Here is a 12,759-nt window from a genome sequence, read left to right as displayed (position 1 = left end):
CAAGGAGTTTCTGACACCAAATAAAGAATCTTTAGTTGTTCCTTTAATTTACAGACACTTAGATGGATTAATTTTTAAGAAGAGGTTTAATTTTCTAGTTGGATAAAATATTAGGGCCAATAAAAATATAATAAGTATCTGAATCCTAAAATCATTTTACAAAGAGCCTGCAGAATGTCCCTCTGGCAATAAGAATATCATATAACACCTGGATTTTCAAATAATGTGCAAAAAATGATACTTTTCAAAGGGAAGAAAAAGGAACAAACCTCTATTATAATAGAAACCCAAAAAAGCTTTATTTAGATACACTGCTGAGCTAATGAATGTCAAGAAATAATTTCAGGGAGAAACTTGAAAAAATAAGACCCCAAACTTTTATTTCAATGGCAAAGCGACACTTTTTGTGGTTTAAGCCCATCATTAGTCCTCTAGGATCTGCCACTCTTCCAACTTCCACCTTTCTACACTACCCTCTCTACTGACTCACAACAAAGCTGCCTTTGTTGTATCAAAACTAATCCAAGAGCAACACACTAGGCATTTCCTCCTGTTATCGCATTTACTCATTTTATTATATCCACCAGGAATGCCCTATTGAGTCCCCTGTGTATGTGAGAACAGTCTACTTTGATAACACTTGTCAAAAGCAGACTAATCTGTTCTTGGGACTTTGGGGGAAGAAGAGATTTCTATCATTTCTATCGTTCACTAGAAATTTACTAACTTCCACAGGATTCTGTCTGTGTTTAAACTTCTTATGCTTCTACCAGACTTAAAACACAAGTTACTATGAAGATACGTGTAGAGAGAAGCAGTTTAGCCTCATGATTAAAGTATGAGCCAAATATCTGGATGGAATTCTGACTTTTCCTTAACAATTCCTTACCTCAGTCTTGTCAACTAGAAAATGGGGATTATAACAGTACCTACTTCATAAACTTGTGATGAGGATTTAAATAATTTCATACACATAAAGCACTTAGAACAAGCCAGGCACAGTGGCTCGCACCTGTAATCTCAGCTACTTGGGAGGCCAAGGCAGGAGGGTTGCTTGAGCCCAGGAGTTGGAGACCAGCCTGGACAACATAGTGAGACTCTCCCTAAAAAAAAAAAAAATTTTGTTTTTTAAATTAGCCAGGCAAGGTGTTGCAAGCCTGCAGTCCCAGGTACCAAGGAGGGTGAGACGGAGGATCTAAGCCCAGTAGTTCAAGGCTGCATTTGCTATAATCACTCCACTGCACTCCAGCCTGGGTGAAAAAGTGATACCTCTCTCTTAAGAAAACAACAACAACAACAACAACAACAACAACAAAAAAACCCACTTAGGACAGTATCCAGCTAACAGGAAATTCTAATAAATATTAACTATTATTAATATTACTATTTTTATAATTCTCCACAGCACCTAGGAGTGCCATATGTGTGTGTATATGTATATATATATATACACATATACGCACACACACACATATATATACACACACACACACACACACACACATATATGCTCACTCTGAATGAAACAATTAAATATTTAAATAATTGTTAAAGGCCCCTCATGGAGTAAATGGAGGCTCAGGCCCAAAAGATCAAATCCATTATAAAGGGTTGGTAGAAGAAAGAAATTTGACCTCTAAAACTACTTAAACATCTTGAACAAATTAAGAAGAAAAAGTGTAAAACTAACAGTCCAGATAAGCCAAGTCTTTTTTCCTGATAAAAAAGGAAGAGACATTTTGAGAGAGCTTGATTGTTTCTATATAGGAAATCTACCCCTAAAGATGGCTATTTCTGAAATGTCATCTTAATTTCTAATCTATCAATAGTATATCAAACTAATTCTAATTTGAATCTACTTATACTTCCAGACTTGACATTATTTACTTAAATAGGAAGCTTCACCATTTACCATCTCGCCTTGAAAAGTAGTATTAAATTCAATTTACTCAACAAAGGTAATCCTTGGCTATAGCACTCAGGGATTTACTAAACAGATCCATGTTTACTTTATTGATATCCTTCACAATTTTATACTTTATCTGCCTCTTCACTATCAGGCTGAAGATCAATTTTAATCATTATAGTTTTGTTCTTCCTCACAGGGAAGCTGATTCAGTTTTTTCGATTTGTTAGCTGCCTGTCTCCATCAATTCCATTGTGTTGACCCATGGCTACAACAGGTCATAAATTATGGACAAAAAATAACATCTTACGCATAGACACTAGGATACTACAGTATGTTTGAGGTAATACAGTACAGTCACGAAAGCCTAATAACTGACTTATCTCTACTACACATACACAATGTTACTTTCAAATAACAATGACTTATATTAATAGAATAAGTCTCATCAAGGGATAAAGAACCTATTTGAGCTGCCAAGAGTGGGACTGATTTAGATCCTAAGCAAGATTCTTAAAGGATTATTTATGAAAGTATAATAGAAATAAAAAGCTTACGTTTAGGTAATATCAGTAACCATGCCTACTCTCACATAAGTTTTGACTTATTTCTTATTATTTGCATATTTTACACTAAGACAGTCCATAAGTAAGTTCTGTCAAAGACTGTTAAGCTTCACAAAAGGAATTTAAATTTCTGAAGCCCAGGTATTCTGATCTATCATCATTAACAACCAAATGTTGTAATAGCATGAGGAAAATACAGTCTGTCTTGTTTTACAGTTTAATTACTGATTAGCAAATAATGTGACATTTGAACAGTCACTATTCATTCACCTTGCTTCCTGTTTAAAGAACTCCTTACCAGAAAACTGATAATCAGAACATAGGAAATAGAAGAATTTATGATCGTAACATTAAGAAAAAAAATTTAAAAAGCTCTGGGTGGTGTGATTACAAGAAATTATTTTCTTCTTTATGCTTTTAGATATTTCTTCCAAATGTTCTAACATATACATATACACATATATCAAAATTTTATTAAGAAGGTAACTCTGTAAGAGAAAGCACAATGTATGTAACATGATCCTTACACAGCTTTTCTCAAAATGTAAAAAGCAAGTTTTTACTAACTACAGAATACTGCAAGATAAATAATGCTACAACTGTTCAGACCCTAAAATAGTGTGTAGCAGACACAATGCAACCAACAGACATTTGTTGAATACATTATAATGTTTAAATTATAGTGGAACTTAATACTAAAAAAAAAGTGTTATCAGAACACAAAGTATATTTTAAATAAAGCAGGCTAATTATATTAGAAAAACATTATTACTTCCTTATATACTTACAAATAAAAGTTTGGGTTAAATCATAAGGTGAGTTTATAATATCATGCAGTAATTCAAACTAATGTGGCTCAAAAATGAAGTCACATAAGCTAAGAGATTTTTCTTGAAGTTCAATTTTTTTCTAGGACAACAAATGTCGACCAGTCTGTTTTTCGAATAAGCAATTAAACAAAAATGAAAAAAAGGGTAGTAATTAACATGCAATTAATTTTAAGGAGACTGAGGAAGTGCCTGCCAAAAGATTTACAGGCATGCTGGGTGCTCTTCTGCTTTTCACAAACCAATATTATTTTTTCTGACATTTAGTCAAATGTGTTTTATCATATCAAATTTCACAAGATACCTGTGGAAGACAATGTAGTATGTTACTCAGCCGAAATACATATTAAATAAAAAGTATTAATATAGAAATTATTCATCTTTACTATCATTTTAAAATGTTCTAAAATGTAGGTAAAGCTTTTGCTATAAATTTACTTTGTGGTGTAAAATCTACATGGTAATTGGCAGCAGCTAAAATATAATGGTACATAGGCACCTGATTTCTCTGTGTAAATTAAAGGAAATGTAAGTTTTCTGAAGGAAGAAAAACATTACTTTTTAGATGCCAACCAACACGACTTTAGTTGGCTGTAAAAGCAGATTAATTCATTTTCAGAGTTAGAAAGAAGATTTTCATGCAGAAGATGGAGTCGGAGCCCGACGTGATCTGAAGCAGTACTAATCTGCACAGAGAAAACAATCAGGGATGGCTACACAACCATTCAGAAGGTTGCATTTTCCCCTTACTAACAACCCAGGGCAACTAAACAACGTACTGCAGTATTTAAAGGACAAACGAGAACCAGTTTAAGCTAGAGGACCGCCCAGCCGCATGCAAAACATACCAACAGAGAATTCACAGCAAGGGGATAGTATTACCTCTTTTATGTAATTCCCTCAGGGGAATACTGTCTCCTCCCCCGTCATAAGGCAAATAAGGGTCGGAAGAAGCATCCATGATTAGAATTTTTAAATAGAAGAAGAAAAAGAAAAAGAAAAAGCTTGCTAGCTTAAAAAGAAAGTGACATTTCTTCCATCCCTGCTGCAGCAAGCAAGGGAGATGCCATATTTGATGAGGTTAAAACTGTAGTTCGACTCGCTGAAGCAACTGGGTTCTTCCACAGTGGATGATGTCATCAAAGGGAAATTATTGCAGCCTGGTTGCTAGTGGCTACAATCTAGCAAGGCTTAGAGGCGGCACAGCCTTCTTAATCAGGTCCTGCTACGTATGACAATGACTAAGCTCCAAGTACAACACACAAAACTGGTTTGAGAATTTTGAAACACTCACAATACAGCTTCGGTAGCATCAGTGGTAACTACAGTAAAACAATAGAAACATTATTTCTTTTGGTTTTAAGATAAATATAAAGGGGAAAAAGTAATACAGAGATGTAAAAAGGAAATTTTGAATGCAGACAATGCCCTTTTTCATTTCTAATGTAGAAAAATGAGAGCAGCACTCTAGTAAGTTTGTGTGGTTTTACGAGAGAATGTACTAGTTTTATACAGTAATGTCATGTGAGTCATAGCCATAAAAAAACTACAATATGCCAAAGGTTTCTCAAGAAACTTGGTTCTAAGTCTATTAAAAATAAAAAAAAAATACTCTATAATACAGCAGCCTTTCATTGAGGATTTAAAAACCGAATAACTGAAGAGTTGAATAGTGTTTTATCCCACTCACCAATCTCCTCCAGCGGCTTCTTGTTTCCTTTCTTGAAGGAACTAGCTAGTAAGACATTGTAGCTTTTGAGGAGAAAGAAAACTATCAACGTACTAAGTAACTTTACTATTGTATGTGTCTAAACTACGCAAAAAAGAGGTTTACTAAGCAGAGGGCTTTCCTATCTCTACTAGCTTCCTATTTTATCTCATAAGGGTTTTGTGTTTTTAACTTTTAGCAAAAATGTGTCTCAAAGTGAGGTACTCAACTGTTCTAGAAATTGTTATAAAATTCAGAAATTGTCTCTTTAATAGAAATTTTTATGAAGTTCAGAAATAAAGCAACTTTCTTGTTTAAAACTGTCATTAAAAACAAAAACAAAAACCGCACAATGCTTATTGAAGATCAGAGTTCAATATTTTATAGCTACCTCTGAGAGGATTCCTCTAGACTGGGAGATTCTCCTCCTGAAATGCCTGTTACACAGTGTCACTAAACAACAACAACAACAAAAGGTGTTGTTCATTAGAAGCAATTCCACAGAACTCAAGGGTTCTATAAAATTTGTTTTCCTAAAGTATTGAATGAGACAATCTCTAAGGTCCACTCGAACTGAAAGTGTTTACATGAAAATTGGAGGTGAGAGAAGGAAAGAGAAAACTCAGAGGGCAGTAAAGAGAAGAGAGAAATTCTCTTCAATTTGTGGAGTACTAAATTTTACTTATTTAGGGTCTTTTTAAAAAACTGTATAGGTTAAATCAAGTTTTTATATTTTAAATCTCAGATAAACAGAGCTTCTTATAAAATCTCACCTGAAATTTGGGAGACAGGGTTCCAGGAAAGGAATATAGACTAGAATTACTGCCACAGGAATATTCTATCTTATCCTGATTCTAGCTATTAAAATTTTTGATAGGATAGTAGGTGATTTTTTTCTTTATTTTCTGTATTTTTCAAATATTCTTGGCAATTTTTTCTCCTATGCTCCTTCCTGCACACTGAGCCAATAGTTTTTTTAAACAAGGAAAGCTTTGACAAAGGCTAACTGTACTAAATTAGCTCAATGTAAATTTGGGAGTGTGTGGTTCTTTTATATGTTTTACCACCATATAATTTTTCTAAATATATAATTGTATGGCATTTATAAAGGATTTTGTTTTTATACCATTCATGTTCTTATATGTCTTTACATAAAAAATGAAAATCTATCCACAAGTTTTCCCGGTATTTGTAGGCACTCTCTTAACTTGTTTTTCCTGATCTACAACTTGATCATAAAGAATGAAAATGACAGTCAGCACTCACTGATGGGGGAAATCCTCCCGGTAAAATAAATACTGACAATGCTTCATATTGTAAAAGTTTTGTAGCCATATTTGAATTATTTTTAAAGATAAACAATTGTGTGTATATATAATATATATCTATATAATTATATTTGTATAGAATTAAGTTTAGAATAAAACACATCAAGCCCTTAGCAATTGTTATCACTGAGACATAAGGTAGAGAGGTTGAGGAGTACATTCAGTGTTTATATAATTCCACACTGTTTAAACAAATATATTACTTTTGTAATAATAAACCTAAAAATCTTTAAAACTTCAGAAGTAAACACATCTCTTGTGTTTATGGGGTCCACAACTGCCACTTTCTTAAAGTAAAAGAATCAGTACACAGGTTAAGTCCAATCACAATTTAGAAAAGCACAAGGTAGACTGGAAGATGTGGCAAAAGAGGACTTTGACACATAAGAGGACTTTGATAGAGACTTTTTATTACCATATTAACAAACTGAATTACAGTCAGGGTGGAGCCCAGATAGAGAGAGAGCAGAAGACAAATTCAAGAATTCCTAGGCATAGCTCTGGAAAAATGCTCAGGATGAATTCTAAAGAACCAAAATCACAAGTAGCACACATGAAGCCATCAAAATTCAAAAGGAGAAGTTATTTTTACTTTCGAACGCACCCTCCACTGTAATCTCAACTTGATGTGGAAATCTGGATAAATCACAACCTCTCTGGGATGTCTCTGTATCTACAAACCAGGAAGGCAGAATAGATGATAATAATATTTTAAGAGTTCTACCTTTAAGCCGCCCCTTGTAACAGTAATGATCTGAGAAATCTACAATATTAGAAGTACTTAAATTTTAAAACAATAAAAATAAATTTTAAACAATTTTTTGCCTTTAAATCTACCAACTTATAGAAAATACAGGAGCAGAGAAACATGTTAAATTATAGCTCAAAAATGTAATCAGGAAAAAACCAAACTAGGAAACAAATGACCTGTTTTCTTCAACAAATACAATTTAGTAAGGAAAAAGGGAGAGAGGGAAACCTACAGAATTTTTTTTAAAAAGACTTAAAAGATACAGCAATACAATTTTTTAAGAAACAATTGGGGAAATGGGAAACACAAGATATTTGATTTTAAGGAATTATTCATATTTTAAAATAATGACCTTTAAAAGAATCTTAATCTTTTAGAAATACACAATATACATGTATATCTACCTACCTATATAAATGACACAATGTTTCAGATTACAACATAATTGAGGGAGTAGAAATGAAACAAAATTGGCTATGAATTGATAATTAATTAAAGTAAGTGACCAGGATGAAAAGGTACACAATATTCTTCTCCATATGTTTCCATGTTTTAAAATTTCTTCCATAATGAAAAGATTTTTTATTTGTATTTATTATTTTAGAGACAGGGTCTCACTCCAACGTCCAGGCTGTAGTACAGTGGCATGATCATAGCTCACTGAAGCTTCGACCCCCTAGCTCAAGTGATCCTCTCACCTCAGCCTCCCCAATAGCAGGGAATACACACGTGTGTGCCACCATGCCTGGCTAATTTTTTAATTTCTTTTTTTGTAGAGATAGGTCTTACAACGTTGTCCAGGCCCACCCAACACTGTCCACTGCACCAAGCCAAAAAGATTTTTAAAAGAATGCTTATAAATAAAACCACTTACATGAGATAAACATTAATAAAAAATTACAACCTTTACCCCTCTAATTAATAGAAGCAGGTTAAAAACTGTAGTTTACAATCCATCAGTATGGTTGTAATATGGTTTGGATCTGTATCCTCACCCAAATCTCATGTTGCATTGTAATCCCCAATGTTGGAGGCGGGGCCTGGAGGGAGGTAACTGGATCATGGTGTGGAGCCTACATGAAAGGTTTAGCACCATCCACTTGGTGCTATCTCATTATAGAGTACTCATGAGATCTGGTTCTTTAAAAGTGTGTAGCACCTCCCTCACTGCCCTCCTTGCTTTTGCTCTGGCCATGTAAGACATGCTAGCTTCTCCTTCATCTTCCGCCATGAATGTAAGTTTCCTGAGGCCTCCCCAGAAGACGCTATGCTTCGCGTACAGCGTGCAGAACTGTGAGCCAATTACATCTCTTTTCTTTATAAATTACCCAGTCTCACGTATTTCTTTATAGCATCATGAGAAGGGACTAATACAGGCTGCTTTAAGTTTACATTTGGACACACTATATGGCACTAAACCTTAACTTGCATTGTCAGTCATTCTCCGAATCAAAATGCATCAGAGAAAAAAAAAAAAGATACAGCAAAGCTTTTCTGGGGGACAATCAATAAACTACACAATTAGTTGTAAAGTTATTGAAGCCCTAAAGAAAGAAGAGGTGGAAATTCTTAAAACTGACAAGCCAGAAAATAAATGGAAAAAACAAAATGGTTTTATAATATTCATACCTCATAAACATAAGAAGTTTTAGTTTCCAATATAGCTATCCGGTTACCCAAATAACATATCACAGGAATAAAAATATGAAGAGTTTGCTTTCACAGACATCACACAATTGGCCCAGGCATGGCGGCTCATGCCTATAATCCCTGCACTCTGGAGGCTGAGGCAGGAGGATCACTTGAAGCCAGGAGTTCAAGACCAGACTGGGTAACATAGGGAGATTCCCAGATTCCCGTCTCTACAAAAAATTTATAAAAATGAGCTGGACATAGTGGCACATGCCTGCGGTCCTAGCTACGCAGGAGGCTGAAGTAGGAGGATCACTTGGGCCCTGGAGGTCAAGGCTGCAATGAGTCATGATTGCACTACTGCACTTTGGCCTGGGCAATAGAGCAAGACCCCATCTTAGAAACAAAAACAAAAAACATCACACGATGATCAATTTTTCAAAATCAGAACCAAAACCGGCAAACCTGTTTTAATGCCTAAACAATTCCTTTTGAAGGAGTTTCTCAAATATTCAGGCATGAACATAAGCTAATATAAAGACTAAGCAAAAAAAGATTTTAAGAGTTCTAAATTTTAGAAATATTTAAATCCAAATATGCCACTATTTACCTTAAGTGGAACCAAACTAAATGTTCCAATTAGAAAATAAATGCTACCTAATTGGATTTGAAAGTTCAACTATACAGTTCAAGAGTTTCAACAAAACAAACAGATGCAGAAAGACTGAAAGTAAAGAGGATAAAAACAGTATAATATGCAAACTCTAATCCAAAGAATATTGGGAGTTATATTAATATCAAAGTAGATTGTAAGATAAAAAACTATAATTAGAAATAGAGTTATTTAAAAAATAAAAGTGGTTCAATTCACCAGGAAGATATAACCTAATAACATAAGATCAAAGTATATAAAGCAAAAATTGACAGAATGACAAGAAGCAGTAGATAAATGTGCAAATACAGTGAAAATTTTTAAAATACTTAATAGAAACAAACAAGGAGAATAATCAGTAAAGAAACAGAGTATTTTCATAGATTAACAAACTTTACCTAATGGACATGGAGAGAACACCATAACTGAAAACTTCACATTATGTATTCTTATAGCATACATGGAACATTTACAAAAGTTGACTTTTTTTCTGGGCCACAATGCAAGTTGCAAAAAATTTCAACACACTGTAATTACATAATGCATATTCCCGGACCGCGATGCAATAATGTTATAAATAATTAAAAACAGCCAGAAATTCCTCATGTGTTGGAAATTATAAACTGAACTTCTAAATAACCTATAGCCCAAAGTAGACTCATTATAAACGTTAAAAATGATTTTTAAATAGTGATAATAAAAAAGGCATATGGCATAGAAATAAAACAGTATCTGAAAAAAAATTTATAGCTTTAAATGCACTTAAAGGCAAGTTAACTGAGGAGCTAACCATCCAGTTCAAGAAATTAGAAAAAAAACTCATCAAAATAAACTCAAAGAAAGTAGAAGATCAGAAATTAATGAAACAGAAAAGAAATACATAATAGAAAAGAACAAAAAAGGCAAACCAATTCATTGGAAAAACTAACTATTGATAAATCTACAGTGACACAGATTAAGATGGGGGAGGGCAAGGGGAGAGAAAGGAGAACAAGAGAGAGGAAGAAGGGAAAGGAGGAGGGAAGGAGAGGAGGGAATAGGAGAAAGGAAAGGAGACGGAGAAGAATTGGGAAAAAGAGAAGAAAAAGACACACAACCATTATCAGGATGAAAAACCAATAGTACAAAATGGGGAGTCTAGAAATAGGCCCTCCTATATATAATGAGCCCTTCATATATGTATCAGAGGTGGCACTGTACAAGAGTGGGTAAAAAATTGTTTTCTAGTAATTGATGTTGGGACAACTGGCTATCTGATATGGTTTGGTTGTTTTGTCCCCTCCAAATCTCATGTTGAAATGCGATTTCCAGTGTTAGAAGTGGGCTTAGTGGGTGTTTGTTTCATGGAGGTGGACCCTTCATGAATGGCTTGGTGCCCTCACCATGATAATGAGTGAGTTCTTGCTCTGTTAGTTCACAACAAAGCTGGTTGTTTAAAGGAGCCTGGCATCTCTCTCATGCTGCCTCTCTCACCATGTGACACGCCTGCTTCCACTTCAGCTTCTATCATGATTGGAAGCTTCCTGAGGCCCTCACCAGACAGAAGCAAATGCCAGCACTATGCTTCCTATACAGCCTGCACGACCTCTTTTCTTTCCTTTTTTTTTTTTTTTTTTTTTGAGACGGAGTCTCACTCTGTCACCCAGCCTGGAATGCGGTGGCATGATCTAGGCTCACTGCAACCTCCACCCTCCGGGTTCAAGTGATTCTCCTGCCTCAGCCTCCTGAGTAGGTGGGATTACAGGCGCCCACCACCACGCCTGACTAATTTTTTGTATTTTTAGTAGAGACAGGGTTTTATCATATTGGCCAGGCTGGTTTCTAATTCTTGACCTCAGGTGATCCACCCACATGGGCCTCCCAAAGTGCAGGGATTACAGGCTTGAGCCACCGCACCCAGCCAACCTCTTTTCTTTATAAATTGTCCGGCCTCAAGTATTCCTTTACAGCAATGCAAAACAGACTAACACACTATCTATATGAGAAAAAAATGAATACACTCTAACACATACACACACACACACATATACAAATCAGATGACTACACAACTAAATGTAAACGGCAAAGCTCTTACAAAATAATATAGAAAAATGTCTTCATAACATCAGGGTAGGGACGTTTTTTAAAATTAAGACACAAAAAGCCTTGGCCATAAAGCAAAAGATTAACACATAGGACCACATTACAACTAAGAATATTTGTTCATAATTTGTCCATTAGAAGAGTGAAATGCACTCCATAGAAGATAGCTGTAACACATTTATCCAACAAAAAGTTTGTGTCTAGAAAATAAAGAACTTCTACAAATCTGTAAGATAGACACTCCAATAGAAAAATGAGTAAATGACCCAAACTGGTACTCTGAAAAGGATTTCCAAATAGACATGAAAAGATGCTACATCTCTTTGACTACAAAGAAAATGCAAATTTAAACCACAATCAAAATCCATACATAGCTAGCACACTGACAAAATTAAAAGTGTGACAATATCAAGTGGTTAGTGAACATGAAGCAATGGAAGCTCTCATACATTCTTGGTCTGAATGTATACTGAAACACTACTGGGGAAAACATGACCTATGACCCAACAAGTTCACATCCAGGACAAATAAAATTTGTGCACCTAAGGACCTAAGTACCACACAAGTACATGCATAATATTCAAAGTAGCATTGTTAGTAACCACCAAAACCTGTTAGGAGCTTCAAGATCCATCAAAAGTAAAATGAATAGGTAAACTGTAGTAAATTCATTTTTTAAAAAATGATATATAATAGTTTAGAGCAACCACACAGCTACTACCTGCAACAACATGCCTGATTCTTGAAAGCCACATTGTGTGAAACCAAGAAACAAAGACATATACACTATATGATTCCATTTACTTAACTTTCAAAAACAGGCAATCCTAAATTATATACTTCTTTTTTCAACACACCATTTCTGGCTTGAATGAATTATATTCTTAAGGATGCATACCTAGATGAGCAAACCACAAAGTAAAGCAAGAAAGTGATTAGACAAAGAGAAAATAGTATTTACCTTCAGAGGGAAAGGAAGGGTTGTGATTAGGAACGTACACAGGAGGCTTCTGGAATATGGTTATGCTTTATTGTCTTAACCTCAGTGGGCTACAAAGATGCTTGCTTTGTAATAACTAATTAAACTACACAATTACGTTTTATGCATTTTCTGATGTGTTATGTCACAATTCAAAAGTCTTTAAGTTAAAAACATATCCTAAGTATCTCTAATTCTATTAATATCTAATGTGGATTTCTTCTTTTTTTCCCTACCTAAACCCTTCTAGTTTAATCTTATTTACAGTCTCAATCAGTTGTAGGTAACAAATTTCATAAGCATCTAAACTGACTTCAATGTGTTCTA

The 12,759-nt window shown here is 34.6% G+C and overlaps 1 protein-coding gene across 7 annotated transcripts in view, besides 4 other annotated features; it reads right to left on the bottom strand.

Moving 5' to 3' along the window:
- Positions 1-12,759, bottom strand: part of CLCN3 (chloride voltage-gated channel 3) — a 103,096-nt gene that overhangs the window by 59,044 nt on the left and 31,293 nt on the right. For 2 of the 7 annotated variants that reach the window (XM_005262726.4, NM_001243374.2), the window contains exon 1: positions 4,182-4,390. The exons of 4 other annotated variants lie outside the window; for them this stretch is intronic. In XM_005262726.4, coding sequence (XP_005262783.1) covers positions 4,182-4,260 — 79 coding nt within the window. In that variant the 5' untranslated portion in view covers positions 4,261-4,390. Of the gene's footprint in view, positions 1-1,012; positions 1,098-4,181; positions 4,391-12,759 lie in introns of those variants that run through there. One more of the 7 variants, XM_047449586.1, reaches the window with a different exon arrangement.
- Positions 398-692: a silencer, noted in NCBI's record as "tiled region #12659; K562 Repressive DNase matched - State 6:EnhF". NCBI's record gives its function as "represses a minimal TATA promoter and a strong SV40 promoter by Sharpr-MPRA in K562 cells {active_cell/tissue: K562}" and the evidence as "EXISTENCE:reporter gene assay evidence [ECO:0000049][PMID:27701403]".
- Positions 3,580-4,452: an enhancer, noted in NCBI's record as "NANOG-H3K27ac hESC enhancer chr4:170581329-170582201 (GRCh37/hg19 assembly coordinates)". NCBI's record gives its function as "activates a minimal SCP1, AML or CMV promoter by ChIP-STARR-seq in primed H9 embryonic stem cells {active_cell/tissue: H9 hESC(primed)}" and the evidence as "EXISTENCE:reporter gene assay evidence [ECO:0000049][PMID:30033119]".
- Positions 3,938-3,997: a silencer, noted in NCBI's record as "silent region_15795". NCBI's record gives its function as "represses an Ori minimal core promoter by ATAC-STARR-seq in GM12878 lymphoblastoid cells {active_cell/tissue: GM12878}" and the evidence as "EXISTENCE:reporter gene assay evidence [ECO:0000049][PMID:35858748]".
- Positions 4,298-4,397: an enhancer, noted in NCBI's record as "active region_22144". NCBI's record gives its function as "activates an Ori minimal core promoter by ATAC-STARR-seq in GM12878 lymphoblastoid cells {active_cell/tissue: GM12878}" and the evidence as "EXISTENCE:reporter gene assay evidence [ECO:0000049][PMID:35858748]".

This window comes from Homo sapiens, chromosome 4 (genome assembly GCF_000001405.40).
Source record: "Homo sapiens chromosome 4, GRCh38.p14 Primary Assembly".
Lineage (NCBI taxonomy): Eukaryota > Metazoa > Chordata > Mammalia > Primates > Hominidae > Homo > Homo sapiens.
Note: the sequence above shows the minus strand (reverse complement) of the source record. Positions and strands in the feature narration are given on the sequence as shown.